General features: G+C 41.5%; 1 gene segment (V, D, J or C) and 1 further gene, besides 2 other annotated features; both read right to left on the bottom strand.

Moving 5' to 3' along the window:
- The window catches only part of IGK (immunoglobulin kappa locus), a 1,378,008-nt gene that overhangs the window by 79,083 nt on the left and 1,280,658 nt on the right, over positions 1 to 18,267 (bottom strand).
- IGKV1D-13 (immunoglobulin kappa variable 1D-13) lies at positions 1,712 to 2,188 on the bottom strand. The segment is given in 2 exon segments: positions 1,712 to 2,007; positions 2,134 to 2,188. Coding segments are annotated over 2 exon segments (351 nt in total).
- Positions 1,997 to 2,007: a sequence feature (IGKV1D-13 leader sequence).
- Positions 2,134 to 2,188: a sequence feature (IGKV1D-13 leader sequence).

Below are 18,267 nucleotides of genomic sequence, written 5' to 3'. Positions count from 1 at the left end.
TCTCTGGAACCCAAGTGCTATAGGAGTTTTTAAGAAATTATTTTAGGCAGATAGGAAAAGGGGTCCTTGGGAAGGTTTTGTTTCCTTTAAAGCAGCTCTAGAAACACTTCTTGTCTAGCCAGAAAGCCCTGGCTCTTAGAGCCAGGCTGGGAAGCTTTCCTATGCAAATCATAGCCATTAGAAACTGGATTCACCCAAACATGGCGATTCCCACCGTTTTCTTCCTTGTCAACACATGTGCCTGGGAAAAACCTGAAAGATGCTATAGGAAGCTGAGAGCAGCTGCAACCCCACCCTTAAGCTTTCAGACAGGACTGAGGACCACATGGTTAGATAGCCCATACTTCAGTGGCAGATGCATTCTATTTTCTGAGGGAGTACCAGAGAATCCTGCTTCTACTGTCAACCTTCCTGACTACTATATCCTTGGCTTTGAAAGGTTGTAGTGTAAAAGTTAATCATAGGAATTCGGTCATTCTTGACATACCCAACAGAGCCAAGAAACCAGGAGGGAAAACCACTCAGGGTGCAAAATATTGTCTGAAGAATGCAATTGAAATAGGCCCTATTATCCCATGGAACTAATGTTTATGATTTTTTGAATAAACATAGAAACTGACTCCCCCAGTCTTAAAACTCAAGGTAGTTACATTTGTTAATCTGAGTTCTTTTTTCAGGAAACCAACCATCAGGCCTCTAGATACTATCAAGGAGCTGAAAGTTATATATCACTGAATGGGGACAGTGAGACATCAGACCCTTCACCCATTATGATTGCCTAACTGACCTCCAGCTTCCTGTTGACTAAATTATCTTCCTTACCCCTCTCTAATTCCTGTTTTCCACATTTCTTCCCTGCTATATAAACCCCTAATTTATTTTGTCAGGGAGATACATTTGAGAATGGTGTCCCGTCTCCTCGGCTGCAGCACCTGATTAAAGCCTGTTCTTTGACAACACTTGTTGTCTTAGTGATTGGCTTTCTGTGTGGTGAGCCGCAGGATCTATACTGAATCCCTGGCATTTCAGTAACAAAATTCTCTGCAAGCTTCACTGCTTTGGCTTATTGTAACCTGAAAGCAAATTTACCCACAACTTCTGAGATAACTTAATATAATTCTAGGATTCAGTTTGACCACCACTGCTTACCAGTCTGAGCTTGCCAGCTCCCAACCCTTACTACAGCCAACAAAATTTCTCAAAGAACAATAGGTAATAATTTCCCTTTTTATAAAACTCTTTGCTCTTCCAACATATTGAAGACCATTGAGTTTTCCTGTATGCCCCATTTGGCAAAAATTTCTTAACAAATAAAACATTAAATTTATCTGTACATTTTATTTAGACTTCAATACTTTAGACTCCAATTCTATCTATTAAGACTATTCCTGCTTAGGATATCTATAATGGCTTCTTCTCTGTTATATGAATTCTAACCAAAGCCATAAACTAGACTCTTCAGGTGTCATGATCTCTATCTTTATTAAATCAGCAGAGGCATTGTTATGTCTGTGCAGCTGGGGCTGAGAAAAGAAAAAGAAATTGGGATGCAGAGGTGATCTCATATCCTCCTCTACCAACACCATCAGAGTGTGGCTGCATCTGAGGAACACTCTCAGCCAATGGAGGCATAAGGAGAAGCAGCTGGGGCAGCCCAGTCTCACACATCTGCTTCCCTGGGGGTTTATGTTCGGGTTTGTAACACTGTGTGAGGGTAACTATTAAACTGTTGACAGTAATAAGTTGCAAAATCTTCAGGCTGCAGGCTGCTGATGGTGAGAGTGAAATCTGTCCCAGATCCACTGCCGCTGAACCTTGATGGGACCCCACTTTCCAAACTGGAGGCATCATAGATCAGGAGCTTAGGAGCTTTCCCTGGTTTCTGCTGATACCAGGCTAAAGCACTGCTAATGCCCTGACTTGCCCGGCAAGTGATGGTGACTCTGTCTCCTACAGATGCAGACAGGGAGGATGGAGACTGGGTCAACTGGATGGCACATCTGGCACCTGAGATTGGAAGCATAAACACAAATGGTCCACACAATTAATCATGTAGTAAGAGAATTTCCCTGAATAGCCAGGCTGTACTGAGCCCCCTGGGCTGAGTAAACTGCTAGTGTTCTCCTTCCTTACCTGGGAGCCAGAGCAGCAGAAGCCCCAGGAGCTGAGCGGGGACCCTCATGTCCATGCTGTGTCCTGAGTGGGTCTGACTCCTGCAAGAAGTGTGACCAGCCTATTAAGAAGTCTTCAGGGCAGGAGGTTGTGTTCTGGGAATATGCAAATGAGCAGAGGATGGGGCAGGCTGGGCACAGCTGCAGGGCTGGCTCATCTCAGTAACTCAGCACCAGTTCAGTGTCCCCAGGTGTCCCAGGTAAGACCAGGGTAGCACAAATTTGTCTCCAGAGAATGTGTTTCTACTGGGAACTATTTTATTATGAGAGACATTTTTTAGTTTTTTTTTGACGATTTGAAATATTCCTCAGGAGTTGATGGAGTAATGTATTTCATTGGTGTATGGGGATTATTTAGGAGAATATTCTTGTTTGTAGGAAATATATAATAAAATGTTAGACGGTATGATTATCAGGTCTCCAAAAGACTCTCATATGATCCCGGTTAGGGAAGGGGTTACTTTGTCCTATACTTGGAACATTTCTGTGAGTTTAACATTGTTCCTTTCTAAAAAAATCAAAAATAAAATTTATTGACATGATGCTATATATACATGTCAGTATTCGGTAATGGTGTTATGCCATTGTTCTTACCACTATAAGATCAAGCAATTTACTACAGATCCACAGAGATGATGCCTATGTACATGGAGAAAGCAGTTTGATACAGATGAAACTGGAAATGATTTGCAATCATTATATCGCACATATCTAATGTGCCCAAAACTGTCCCAGCCTAGCTCAGTAGCAGGGGAAGTGGATCCAACTATATTAGCATCAGTGGGCTGTAGCCTAGGGCTCCACAAAATTTTACTGATGCCTGAGTAGGGGAGCCAAATCACAGTGCCATAGCCCGTGCACAAACCTTCTTGCTGCTTTGTAAGCCGCCTGAATTTTAAGGGAACTTGCTTATATTGGGAGAAAGGAAGAAAACTCCATTTGTCCTCTAAATGTTTGCTGAAAATAAACTGACAAAAGGAAGATTAATAAGAGAAAAGGCAAACAAAATTCATTTAAAGTGCAGCAGGATATCATAGCAGGGTGATTACCCAAATAACTCAATAAGATCCAGTAGTTCATATTTCCTTTCCAGCGAAGACGGAATTCGGAAGTGTAGGCAATCTGGAGAGAATAGATGAGAACAGAAGTGCATCTTCAAAAGAACAGGTAATAGCCTGTCTGGATAAAGCATCAGTTCCCAGTCTCTTCTATTTTTGATTCCTGTTTTGTGTTAATCTTCCCTGATATAAAAATTCTCAGGAATAATTTTTTTGACAATTGGTTTCCTTCTGGAGAATCTGCTTTTTGGCAGATAAGCGATGTTTAGGAGAAGGCTTTTTGTGCATTTGCTGCTTTCTAAATGCCTTTGGTTTTATGTAATCCTCATATGAATGCAGCATAGTTTGAGATGTTATTTTCTGGATTCCTTTACTTACAACTCACCTACCAAGATCCTGTTCCAGAGAGATGCAGCTACAGACTGAAAGAGCAGTTGACCCCTGAACAATGTGGAGGTTGGGGCACTGACCACAGGTGCAGATGAAAACCTGTGTAGAACTTTTGCATTTCTAACTTAAGTACTAATAGCTTACTTTTGACTGCTAGCCTTAATGATAAAATAAATAGTTGATTAACACTTTTTTAAGTTATTTATATCATATACTCTATTATTCCAATAAACTATGCTAAAGAAAAAAATGTAATTAAGTAAACTATAAAAATGAGAAAATATATTTACTACTTATTAAGTACTTGTTTACAGGTGACACACACAGAAGAAAATACAAGTGGATCTGCAAATTTCAAACCCAATTTATTCAAGGGTTAACTGTACCAGGATGAATATAGGAGTCTCTATCTGTATTCTAGGGCTTTCTCTTTGCTGTACCTCTGCTCACTTGCAATGGCAATATACATGTCTTATGTTCTTTACAGTCTTGGGCAGAGAACTCTGCCTGCATGCATTGCTGACCAAATGACCTGAAATGTGTATCTCTTAGGAAAGTGCTATGGTTTCACTGTGTCCTCCAGAATCCATCTGTTGTAAAGTTAATTCTCAGTGTAATGGTATTGCCATGTGGGGCCTACTGGGATGTGTTTAGATCATGAGTGTGGTGCCCTCTAGTGGAATACATTAATGCCAGTATAAACAGCAATTGTGGGGCTGAGATCTCTCTCTCTTCTGCTTGTCTGTCATGTTAAGACATGGCCTTCCTTCCTTTGAAGGACCCCAAACTCAAGGCATCATCTTGAAAGCAAAGAAAGCAGACATTAACCTGCCCATGCCTTGAACTTAAATTTTCCATTCTCCAGAAGTGTAAGAAAATAAATTTGTGTTCTTTATGAATTACTCAGTGAAAAGGAATCTGTTACAGCAGCTTGAAATAGAACAAGAGAGACAGCTCACAATCAGTGAGGACAGGATGAGGTGTATACATACTTAAGCTTCCTCATCTCTCAGGTGGAACAGCCCGGAGGAATTTAGTCCATGTTTCCACAGGTGGTTGATCTTCAGTTCTCCTGAGTCAGGTGGGTTGTTGATGCGTCTTTTACAATTCATCTTCTGTTCCCTTCCTCACTTTCCTCCTTTTCTCCCAGCGTAAATTTGCTGCCTAAACAGGAATCCTTATTGCAGGTGGACCCAAACTAAGACAGTAAAAAAAAAAAAAAAATCGTTAATCTTTTGTATGAGGGGTATTTCTCATCTGAATTCTAATAATTTCTTTTTCTTTGACATGTAGGAATATTCAGGAAGCACTTAATTTTTCTTTACCAATCTATTTCAGATTGAATTTGTGCAGTGATTTTGTTTTTCTGTGTGTTAAAACCAAAAATTAAGTTGTAGGTCACCAACCTGCTGAATGGACTCCTCTTTTGACAGAAAGCACTTCAAAGAAATTTGGAAAACTAGATTAGGCCATGACTGGCAGGTGGGTTTAGATGTGCCTCATTATACTCTCCTCCCTTTGGAGTTCAGACACAACTGACCAGCATTATCATTACAACAGAGATCTCTGGACTGATGAAACAGATACTTTTTAGCAATAAGATACCATACTCCAATGTGACAGATAATAGGCCCTGGAGAAAATCAAAATATTTTATCCTAAAAATATTTCTTTGACATATTCTGAAGTGGCCCTGCAAAGCTACCTGTTGTGGGGGAAATTTGCATTCTATAGAGAATCTTCTCCCCTTACTAAGTCTTTTCCAAAGAGTCTGACATTTTTTTCTAAGGTCTGATAATCAACATTCACCATCTACTTTATTTACTACCCATAGGATTCATCTACATGACAAGAACCCCCCATTTTCTAGACTCAAGCATTTCTTTATGATGAATTCAACTCTTTAGGCAGAGCTTAACTCTTTCAACCAGTTGCCAGTCAGGAAAGCTTTGAATCCACCTATGACCTGGAAACCCCTGCTTCAAGCTATCCCACCTTTCCAGGACAAACTTATGTGTATCTTATATGTACTGATTTATGTCTTTGCCTGTAATTTCTGTGTCTCCTAAAGTGTATAAAACCAACGTAAAATCCAACCACCTTAGGCATATGTTTGCAGGACCTCCTAAGGCTGTGTCACAGGCCATAAGCCATATATTTGGCAAAATAAACCTGTAAATTGATTGAGACCTGCCTCAGATAGTGTTTTGCTTACACTAGGTCACAAAATTTAAAAATGCCTAAACCGCAGCAGCCCGGCATTCCTCCAGGACCTCCTCCCCTGGGATCTTGCTTCAAGTGCTGGAAATCTGGCCACTGGACCGAGGAATGCCCACAGCCTGGGATTCCTCCTAAGCCGTGTCCCATCTGTGCGGGACCCCACTGGAAATTGGACTGTCCAACTCTCCTGGCAGCGACTCCCAGAGCCACTGGAACTCTGGCCCAAGGATCTCTGACTGACTCCTTCCCAGATCTTCTCAGCTTAGCTGCTGAAGACTGATGCTGCCCAATCGCCTTGGAAGCCTCCTGGACCATCACAGACACTTTGGGTAACTCTTACAGTGGAGAGTAAGTCCATCCCCTTCTTAATCAATGTGGAGTCTACCCACTCCACATTACCTTCTTTTCAACGACCTGTTTCCCTTGCCACCATAACTGTTGTGGGTATTGATGGCCAGGCTTCTAAATCTCTTAAAACTCCCCAACTCTGATGCGAACTTGGACAACATTCTTTTATGCACTCCTTTTTAGTTATCCTTACCTGCCCAGTTTCCTTATTAGGTCGAGACGTTTTAACAAAACTATCCACTTCCCTGACTATTCCTGGGCTACAGCCACACCTCATTGCCACCCTTTTCCTCACTTCAAAGCCTCCTTTGCATCCTCCCCTGTGTCTCCCTGCCTTAATCCACAAGTATGGGATACCTCTACTCCTTCCTTGGCAACTGATCATGCACCCCTTACCATCCCGTTAAAACCTAATCACTGTTACCACTAGAGCGTGTTATCACCCACCTGTTACAACATGGCCTCTTAAAGCCTACAAATTCTCCTTACTGAGGGAAGAGAGAGACCCTCTCATATTGTTTTATATTGTTTTATACTCAGTACCTGTTTTAAGAGTAAAAATCAAGGAAGTGAAATCAGAGACAGGCAGCCCGGCGCCAGGCCTGGGCCTGCCTGGCCTAAACCTAGTAGTTAAAAATCAACTCATGACTTAGCAACCAATGTTATCCATAGATTCCAAGCATTGTATGGAAGAACATTGTGAAACTCCCTGTTCTGTTCTGTTTGACTCTGACTACCAGTGCATGAAGACCCTGTTACATAACCCCTAGATTGCTCAATCAATCACGACCCTTTCATGTAAAATCTTTAGTGTTGTGAGCCCTTAAAATGGACAGAAATTGTGCACTCAAGGAGCTCCGATTTTAAGACAGTAGCTTGCCGATGCTCCCAGCTGAATAAAGCCCTTCCTTCTACAACTCGGTGTCTGAGAGGTTTTGTCCATGGCTCATCCTGCTACATTACAGCTCCCCTATCCTACCCATCCAGGAACCAGACAAATCTTACAGGTTGGTTCAGGATCTTTGCCTTATTAATCAAATCGTCTTTCCCATCCACCTTATAGTGCCAAACCTCTACACCCTCCTATCTTCAATACCCCCTTCCACAACTCACTATTTTGTTATTGACCTCAAAGACACCTTCTTTACTATCCCCTTGTATCCCTCCTCTCAGCCTCTTTTTGCCTTTACTTGGACTGACCGTGACACCCACCAATCCCAACAACTCACCTGGACTGTTCTGCCCCAAGGCTTCAGGAACAGCCCACACTACTTCGGCCAGGCCCTTTCTCATGATCTGCTTTCTTTTCACCTGTCTGCCTCCCATCTTATTCAATATTTTGATGATCTTCTTCTTTGCAGTCCCTCTTACCAATCTTCCCAGCAGGACACTACCCTGCTTCTTCAACATCTCTATTTAAAGGGGTACCGAGTATCCCCCTCCAAGACACAAATTTCTTCCCCTAGTGTTACCTATCTCGGTATAATCCTCCATCAGCATACACATGCCCTTCCTGCAGACTGTGCTCAGTTAATCTCCCAGACCCGAATCCCCACCACAAAACAACAACTCCTTTCCTTCTTAGGCATTGTTGGATATTTCCGACTCTGGATACCAGGCTTTGCTATCCTAACAAAACCACTTTACAAGCTCACAAGAGGTAACTTAACTGATCCCATAGACCCTAAGTTTTTTGCCCATTGTTCTTTTTGCTCTCTCAAAAAGGCCCTGGAGACAGCTCCCACACTAGCACTCCCCAACTCGTCCCATGCTTTTTCCTTACACACAGCTGAAATACAAGGCTGCGCTGCTGGAGTCCTCACACAGGAGCCAGGCCCACGACCTGTTGCCTTTCTATCAAAACAACTTGACCTCACAATTCTGGTGCAGCCCTCATATTTGCGTGCAGCAGCAGCTGCTGCTGTAATACTTCTGGAAGCCCTCAAAATCACAAGCTATGCTCCACTTACCCTCTACAGTTCTCACAACCTTCAAGCATTAATATCCTCCTCACACCTTTCACACTTACTGTCTGCCCCTCGACTCCTCCAGCTCTATTCTTTTATTGAAACCCCAACAGTAACTATTGGCCATGGGCACGATTTCAACCCAGCTTCTCAGTTAGTAACCAACACAAGTCCTGAACCACGTGACTGTATTTCCCTAATACACATAGCATCTTCCTCCTTTCCTTGTATTTCTATTCTTCGAATTCAAAATCCAGACCACCCAATCAATTTTCACCAGGTAAGCTGGATATGCTGTCATGTCCCACATCTCTATTATTGAAACTGCTGCTCTTCCTCCCTCCACCACTTCCCAACAAGCCAAACTGATTGCTTTAACTCATGTGCTCTCTCTCGCTAAGGGAATGCACATTAACATTTATACTGACTCCAAATATGCTTTCCACATCTTCCATAACCATGCTGCCATCTGGGCTAAAAGAGGCTTCCTTACCACACAAACCTCTTCCATTATCTATGCCTCCCTAATAAAGGCCCTCCTTAAGGCTGCTCTCCTGCTGGCCAAGCCTGGAGTCATTCATTGTAAAGGACACCAGAAACCTACTCATCTTATTGCAAAAGGAAATGCCTATGCCGACAGGACAGCAAAAGAAATAACCAATGCCTCCACACCCGCTAATATTCCAGCTCCCACTCCAGAGGACCAGTATTTTTCTTCCTTATCTATCACTACCACCTACTCTTTTGAAAGCCTGCTCTACTAGTCTTTTCCAACTCAGGGAAAGTGCTTCTTAAATCATGGAAAATTCATTCTTCCTGCCTCACAAGCTCAGTCCATGCTTTCTTTCCTTCATGACCACTTCCATGTGGGATACAAGCCTCTGGCTCGCCTCCTGCAGCCCCTCATCTCCTTCTCTTCATGGAAATCCATCCTTAAGACAGTCACCTCTCAATGCTCGTCTACCATGCCACCAGCCCCCAAGGCTTTCTCAGCCCTCCTCCTTTTCCTACGCATCAGGCTCGTGGATTTACTCCAACACAAGATTGGCAGATTGACTTCACTCATATGCCCCATATCTGTAAATTTAAATATCTCCTGGTTTGGATTGACACCTTCACTGGGTGGGTTGAGGCATTTCCCACTATCTCTGAAAAGGCTACTGCAGTCATTTCTTCCCTTCTAACAGATATAATTCCCTGATTTGGCCTCCCTACTTCTATTCAATCTGACAATGGTTTGGCTTTTATTAGTCAAATCCTCCAAGCTGTCTCTCAAGCTCTTGATATTCAGTGGAAACTTCATACCCCCTACCATCCTCAGTCTTCAGGAAAGGTAGAAAGGAGTAATGGTCTTTTAAAAACACACCTCACCAAGCTCAGCTTCCAACTTAAAAGGGACTGGACAGTATTTCTACCACTTGCCCTTCTCAGAAGTAGAGCCTGCCTTCAAGATGCTACAGGGTACAGTCCATTTAAACTTTTATATGGACTTACTTTCTTGCTTGGCCCCAACCTTGTTCCAGACACCAGCCCTCTGGACAACTATCTTCCAGTCCTCCAGCAGGCTAGACAGGAAATTCGCCCGACTGCTAATCTTCTCTTTCCTACTCCAGATTCCCAGCCATATGAAGACACCCTAGCTGAACGATCAGTTCTTGTTAAGGGTCTGAGCCCTCAAACTCTACAGCCTCGATGGACTGGACCCTATCTAGTCATCTATAGCACCCCAACTGCTGTCCATCTGCAGGACCCTCCCCATTGGGTTCACCATTCCGGAATAAAGCTGTGTCCATCGGACAGCAAGCCTGATCTCTCCTCTTCCTCCTGGAAGTTGCAAGTACTCTCCACTACTTCCCTTAAACTCACTCACATTTCTGAAAACAGTAATAACCCTTATGAACCTAATATGTTCCTTCATTCTATTAGGTCTATTCATCCTTACTCTACTTTTTGCAACAGGGCTTTACACAGTCACCCCCACTACTTGGACTGTGCCCCAAAACTTGTCATCCCTACTATCTTCTGTCTAGTCATACTCCTATTCACCATTCTCAACTACTCATAAATGCCCTGCTCTTGTTTATACTGCCGGTTTACACTGTTTCTCCAAACCATCACAGCTGATATCTCCTGGCCCTATTGCCAAACCACCACTCTTGACTCCCTCTTGGAGTGGATAGATGATCTTTGCTGGCAGGGCACACTCCAATATTTTCACCATGATGAAGTCCTATTCTTTTTTTTTATACTCACTCTTATTCTCATTCCCATTCTTATGCCACCCTCTCCCTCTCCCCAACTATCTCCACTACACTATCAGTCTCACTCACTCTCTCCCAGCCATTTCTAATCCCTCCTTAGTGAACAATTGCTGGCTTTGCATTTCCCTTTCTTCCTGCGCTTACAAAGCTGTCCCTGCCTTACATACCTACTGGGCAACATCTCCTGTCTCCGTACATCTCCGAACTTCCTTTAACAGCCCTCACCTTTACCCTCCTGAAGAACTTCTTTACTTTCTAGACAGGTCCAGGAAGACCTCCCCAGACATTTCACATCAGCAAGCTGCTGCCCTTCTTCGCACTTACTTAAAAAACCTTTCTCCTTATATCAACTCTACTCCCCCCATATTTAGACCCCTCACAACACAAGCTGCTATTCTTGTGGCTGCTCCTTTATGTATCTCTTGGCAAATACCCACTGGAATTCCCCTGGGTAACCTTGCATCTTCTCGATGTTCCTTCACTCTTGATCTCCAAAGCCCAGCTACACATACCACTGAAACAATTGTGGCTTTCCAGCTCCATATTACAGATAAGCCCTCTATCAGTACTGACAAACTTAAAAACATTAGCAGTTATTATTGCTTAGGAAGACATTACCCTGTATTTCACTCCATCCTTTGCTGCCTTCCCCTTGCTCTTCAGACTCTCCTCCCAGGCCCTCTTCTTGTTTGCTTATACCCAGCCCCGTAAATAACAGTGAAAGGTTGCTCATAGACACTCGACACTTTCTCTTACACCATGAAAATCGAACCTTCCCCTCTATGCGGTTACCCCATCAGTCCCCATTACAACCTCTGACGGCTGCCGCGCTAGCTGGATCCCTAGGAGTCTGGGTACAATACACCTCTTTTAGTACTCCTTCTCATCTTTTCACTTTGCAGCTCTGGTATTGCCTTGCACAAGGTCTCTTCTTCCTCTGTGGATTCTCTACCTACATGTGTCTATCTGCTAATTGGACAGGCACATGCACACTACTTTTCCTAAGTCCCTAGATTCAATTTGCAAATGGGACCAAACAGCTTCCTGTTCCCCTCATGAAACCGACACGATAAAAAAGTGTTATTCCACTAATTCCCTTACTTGTCAGTTTAGGACTTTCTGCCTCCACTATTGCTCTCAGAACTGGAATAGCAGGCATTTCAACCTCTGTCACAACCTTCCGTAGCCTTTCTAATGACTTCTCTGCTAGCATCGCAGACATATCACAAACTTTATCAGTTGTTCAGGCCCAGGTTGAATCTTTAGCTGTGGTTGTCCTCCAAAACTGCCAAGGCCTTGACTTGCCGCTGAAAAAGGAGGACTCTGTGTATTTTTAAATGAAGAGTATTGTTTTTACCTAAATCAATCTGGCCTGGTATATGACAACATAAAAAAACTCAAGGATAGAGCCCAAAAACTCACCAACCAAGCAAATAATTATGCTGAACCTCCTTGGGCACTCTCTAATTGGATGTCCTGGGTCCTCCCAATTCTTAGTCCTTTAATACCTGTTTTTCTCCTTCTCTTATTCAGACCTTGTGTCTTCCGTTTAGTTTCTCAATTCATACAAAACCGCATCCAGGCCATCACCAATCATTCTATATGGCAAATGCTCCTTATAACAACCCCACAATACCACCCTTTACCCGAAAATCTTTCTTCAGTTTAATATCTTCTACACTATGTTCCCATGCCACCCCTAATCCCACTCGAAGCAGCCCTAAGAAACAATGCCCATTCTCTCTACATACCACCACCAAAAATTTTTGCCACCCCAACACTTCACCACTATTTTGTTTTTTCTTATTAATATAAGAAGATAGGAATGTCAGGTCTCTGAGCCCAAGTTAAGCCATCATATCCCCTGTGACCTGCATGTATGCATCCAGATGACCTGAAGCAACTGAAGAACAACAAAAGAAGTGAAAATAGCCAATTCCTGCCTTAACCGATGATATTCCACCATTGTGATTTGTTCCTGCCCCACTCTAACTGATCAATTAACCTTGTGACATTCCTTCTCCTGGAAAATGAATCTCAGGAGCTCCCCCACAAAGCACCTTGTGACCCCTGACCCTGCCCACAAGAGAACAACCCCCTTTAACTGTAATTTTCCACTACCCTGCCCAAATCCTATAAAACTGCCCCACCCCTATCTCCCTTTGCTGACTCCTTATTCGGACTCAGTCAGCCTGCACACAGGTGATTAAAAAGCTTTATTGTTCACACAAAGCCTGCTTGGTTGTCTCTTCACACACACATGTGTGACAGATTACAGCCCTACTGACACCTTAACATTAGCTCAGTGAGACTTCTGACACGGGGTACTATATTTTATTTGTGTGAAGCCAATAAGACTGTGGTGATTTAAACAGCAGCATTGGAAACTAATGCAAGGGGAAGAGATGTCTTTCACCTCACTGAGAGCATGGTTGTCCTCTGTTCTTGGAAATATTTCCACCTTGTCATCTGGTGTCAATTATGACATATTTTCTAGTATTTAAAGAAAAGATCTGCTGCCCTAAAATCCTATGTCCAGTAAAATTATTATTTAGAAATGAAGGACAAATTGAGAAGTCCTCAGTTGTAGAAAAACTAAGAGTATTTGCTGCCAACAGATCCACTTTAAACATAGGCAAAATGAGCCCTAGGAAGATAAAACTAAAGATAAAGAGAGGATATTAAATAATGTTAGGGACAAAAGGCTACAAAAATGAGAAGATAGATGGATATAATGCATTGCTAAATCATGTGTGATAGTTGTATCAAAGTTGTAATACTGTTTTTTTCCTAATATATGCAGATAAATTACTTTTAAAAAACAATCTATTTACAATGGGGGAGGAAACATGACATAAAAAAGGTAAAATTCTATATTTATTTTAAATGGTAATATATTGATGCCAACATACTGTGAGAAGCTATGCATATAAAGGAAATACTATGACAACCAATTTGAAAATCATTATAAAAAGAGATACCCCAAAATTAGGCAAAATTAAAATGAAATTGTAAAGATGTTCAAGTAACCCAAAAGAAGGCAGCAAAAAGAAAACAGAGAAGCAAAAAAAGATACAGCAAAAAAGTAGAGTGCAGACTTAAATTTTAATATATCAATATCAATATATTAAATATGCAAATTATGAAACTTTGAAAAAGACAATTGATGAATAAAAAGAAATGTCCCAACTGTATGTTATCTACAAGACACTCACATCAAATATAACAGTATAAGTAGATTGAATATAAAAGGAAGGAAAATGGTATACTATGCAAACATTAATAAAAAGAATCAGTAGCAAATACTAATATCAGATAAAGTAGACTACAGAGCCAAAGAATGTTACCAGGGACAGAAAGGTACATTACATAATGAAGAAAGTCATTTTGGAAAGAAGACAGAGCAGTTCTAAGTGCGTAGACACCAAGCAAAAGAGCGATATAGTGCATGTGGCAGAAACTAACAAAACAATTGCACACGGAGACTTCAAAACCCCTTGTTAATCTTCGATAGGACAACTGGACAGAAAATCAGCAAGGATTTAGGACTCAACAATATCATCAACCCACGAGATCTAACTGACATTTATAGAACACTCCAACCCATAACAATAGAAGTTCACATTTTTTTCTTCCAAGTGCCCACAACATATACCAAGATAGGACATATCCTGCCCACATAACCTCTCAACATATTTGCAATAATTAAAATCACAGTGAATGTGTTCTCTGACCATGGAGGGATCAAACTAGAAATCAATATTGAAAATGTAACCCCCAAATTTTCAAATATATGGGAACTATACAATATTGTTCTTTCCAAAGAACCAGCCTTTGGTCTGCCTGGTGTTCAGTGTCACTTTTTCTGTTTGCAGTTTTATTGATTTCTGCCCTAATATTTATTATTTATTTTGCTCATGTTCTACTTCAGATATAAATTGCTCCTCTTTATGTAGTTTCATAAGGTGGAAGCGGAGATTATTGGTTTTATCCCTTTTATTTTCTGAAAAATACTCATATGCATATGTTTATCTACATGCATACACAGGCATAAATATGTGCAGATGCATATTCATACACGTGGTTTTAATACCATAAATTACCCTGTAAGCGCTGCTGAATACCTATGCGTATTTTCTTTTCTCTGAGCTCAAACTCCACTCACTTGCAAACCTGCCCACTTAATCTGCATGTTCATTGGTGTCTCAATCTAGAATTGAGCAAAAATAACAAACTCCTTTCATTTTATCTCAACTTTCTTGGCCGCTAATACATTTAACATCAGTAAGTCAGAATCTATCTAATAGATTAAGGCCAAAGCTGCCAGGTCACTCCTAATCTGACTCTTCTCACACCAAGGAGTGTAAATGACATTGATTTAAAAATATGGTATCATCTGCCTATGTCTCCAACAATCTTCACTGCCCCAAAACTAGTTAATGCCAGGATCCACTTTGCCCAGATAAGCATCTCTTCTGCTTCTCACAGCCCAATTCGAGTCATTACTTTGCTAAAAAATAAATATGACCATGGGGGTACTTTGGTTAAAAAAATTCCCAGAATGTCCTGCTGTACCTACAAAACATTTGCTCCCCAAACAGAAAATGAAGGCCTTATTAATTTCACATCAGTCACATGTGGTGATCTTTAAGACACTGAGAGAAAATGTCTCTGACCTGCCCCCTCACAAACTTTCTCTTTTTTACCTCAGTTAAGTCACTCTCCTCATAGTGCCTTTCTCTGTCCTTCACACGTTCATACTGTATTCCTTCTAAGCGCCTTGATTGTCATGAACCTCAGTGCCCTTCAGAAACTTCTCTTCAGGTCAGTTGTTCTCCTCATCCAGGTCAGTCACCTCCTCAGAAAAAGTAGCCTCTACCTCCCTAACTAACTGACTCCTTTTCCTCATTAACCACTTCCTCTTCCCTTGCCATTTTTTTCCTTTATGACCCTTAACTTTTTCTAGAATCTTTTTGTTGATTTATGTTTAATTAGACATGGCCTTTTTTTCACCAGAAAAGATATAGGTAAATGAGAGTCAGACACTGACTTTCTCAGGGGTGCAGCCTAGATACGTTCCTGGACCAGCATAGTTGCTCAATTAACACTTTATTGAATGAATGAATAATGAAAAGTTAATAAGAAACTCTCCAAGACATAATCAACACTCTTAACCTATACACATTGAAAACAACCCACTGAATGTAAAACATGGATTATTCTGAGTAATGAGAAGTTTGAATAGCAGTGTGCTGCTCTTCATAGTCAGCTCTTCATAGTCAGTGTGCTGCTCTTCATAGTTTGTATTTTGCTGGGGAGATAAGGAAGACATCCAAAGTCCATGATAATCAGGTAAGAGTATTCTTATCTTTTTTAAAAAACAAGCAAATAGACTTTGCAGTCACAAAAAAATTGCAATAAATGGGACTACACTATCACTTAACTCTATTGGCTCCTGTTCACAAAAACAGGTTGTATTATTAACTCTTCTTTGAAAACAAACCAGCTCCAAACAAAATGCCATAAAATGAGTATGTACAGTCCTCCCTCAGTATCCATGGGAAATAGTTTCCAGGGCACCCTGCAGATATTCCAATTTTTGGAGACTCAAAACCTTTATGTAAAATGCACAATATTTGCATATAACCTACACATATCCTCCCGTACATTTCACACCATCTCTAGCCTCCTTATAGTACCTAGTACGATGTCTACACATGACTTAACTTGTGTAGATTCATCCAAGTGTTACTCAGCACATGGCAAAGTCAAGCTTTGCTTTTTGGAATTTTGTGGATTTTTTTTTCAAAATATTTTTGATCCAGGATTAGTTGAATCCATGGATGCAGATCCCATGGATAGAGAGCTGACTGTACAGCTCCTTATAATTCTGAGGGTCAGCTCTGTGGTTCTTCCATTCTGGGCTGGCTGGACTGATCTCTGCTGAGTCCGCTCTTGTGTCTGCAGTTACCCTGTGGTTCATTTGTGACTGGATGGTCTGATGTGACTTCTTTAACCTATCTGGAAGCTGGTTTGATGTGCAGGTTGGACAACTTTTGGTATCGGTTTACATGGGTCAGGAAGATGGGTCCTATTCCCCAATCTGTATTAGGTTTGTTCCCAGATCAACTCTGGGGTTCAAGTCTATTCATTGTGGGTTGTTTGGGAGAAATTCTACATGAACAAAGCTGAACTGCTGTCATTTATTGCTGTTAGCAGTTATTGTTATCCTCTGAAATGCATCTTATATAACCAAGATCTCCCCAGGGTGGCCCAACAGTACAGCTCAGCTCAGCCCATCCTGTCACTTCACTGGATGACTGCAGGTATGAGAAAGGCAATATGCTCAGTCACAGGAAAGGCAGGGGCCCACCCTGGGGCTGAAACCTGCAGACACAGCGTTCACACAGCTTCTTTGCAAAATACGAAGACTTCATTTTCTTTATACTTAAGATAGTTATACATTTTTTTCTATAATGTCCCTATGCTATTTAACTAATTTTAATTTTCAGAACTGGTTGTATTTATTATTTCTGTGTTAGGTGCTCTTAGTCACTTATGGCAAGAGTGAGTTAATAGAGACAACATACAGATTAGCCATGGAACAATAGAGAAGTGTGTGTATTCAGACAGGATAAAGATCAAAGGGGTGACAAATACATTCTTTTGAGAAGCAGATTCTCATAGATCACCACAAGTCAAGGTCCACATTCAAGGTGCAGTGGCATGTCAGTCACATTGTGCAAATGGTCAGCTCTGCACATTAAACTTGGCTAGCACATTGCAGGACCAAAATTACCTATAAAGGTATGGGGAAAATAAACCATCATGGAAATAACAATTTGAAGGAGTTCTCAATTATTTATACTTGGATATAAAGCAGAACGCTACAATGAATGAACCTACAACCTAAAACCTTTAAGCCTTTTAAAGAGGTTTCTTTTTGTCAGGGTATTTCTCAGCAAATAATGATAAAAAATTTATGGATAAACTACTTGCACAATTAGCCACAATAAATCCCTTCCCTGTACTCATCCTTTGGTTGGCCTCATTCTAAATGGATGCAGGTGTTGCCCATGTGTCTTGCTCAGGCCAATAGGATAATAGCAGATGTGACACAAGTGGAGTCTTGGAAAGGGCTTGCACATCGAAGCTTTCCTCTCTCTCACAGTGCTTGGAAACCCTAAGGTCACAATGAGAATAAGACTGTGCCCATCTACAGTCAATGTCAGTGGCATGGCTGCTCTTCGGTCTACTATTTGTTCTTAAAATGTGTGCTAAGTTTGTTATGGCCATGTAACAAATTACCACAAATTTATCAGCTTAAGACTACACCCATTTATCATCTCTCAATTTCTGAGTCAGCAGTCGGCACATGGCTTTGTCGGGTCCTGGCCATTGGATTTCACAAGAATGTGCCACAGTGTAGATTGGGCTTCATTCTCACCTGTGAGTCCCCTGAGAACATAGATACTTTAGAGCTCTTTCAGGTAGTTGCAGAGCTCATTCCTTAGCATTTCTATGACTCAGAGCTTCAATTTCTAACTGGCTCTTGGCTCAAGGTTGCTCTTAGTTCCAAGAGGCTGTGGACAATTCCCTGCCATGTGATGCTCACACAGGCAATGCCCACATGGCTGGTTGCTTGTTCATGGTCAGCAGAAGGTTTCAGAGAGTGTCTCTTTCCAGTCTGCTATGACAGAGGCTTATCGAATACAATCATTGGAAAGACATCTCATAACCTATGACATATCATATGGATTAGAAGCAAGTCTAGGTTCCGCTTGTTCTCTGTGGAGGTAGATTATACAATTGTGTGATTCACTGGGGAGAGGGTTCTGCTAGGGTGTTCTGG

Source organism: Homo sapiens, chromosome 2 (assembly GCF_000001405.40).
Source record: "Homo sapiens chromosome 2, GRCh38.p14 Primary Assembly".
Taxonomy (NCBI): domain Eukaryota; kingdom Metazoa; phylum Chordata; class Mammalia; order Primates; family Hominidae; genus Homo; species Homo sapiens.
The sequence above is the reverse complement of the archived record's forward strand: the minus strand, read 5'-3'. Positions and strand labels throughout refer to the sequence as shown.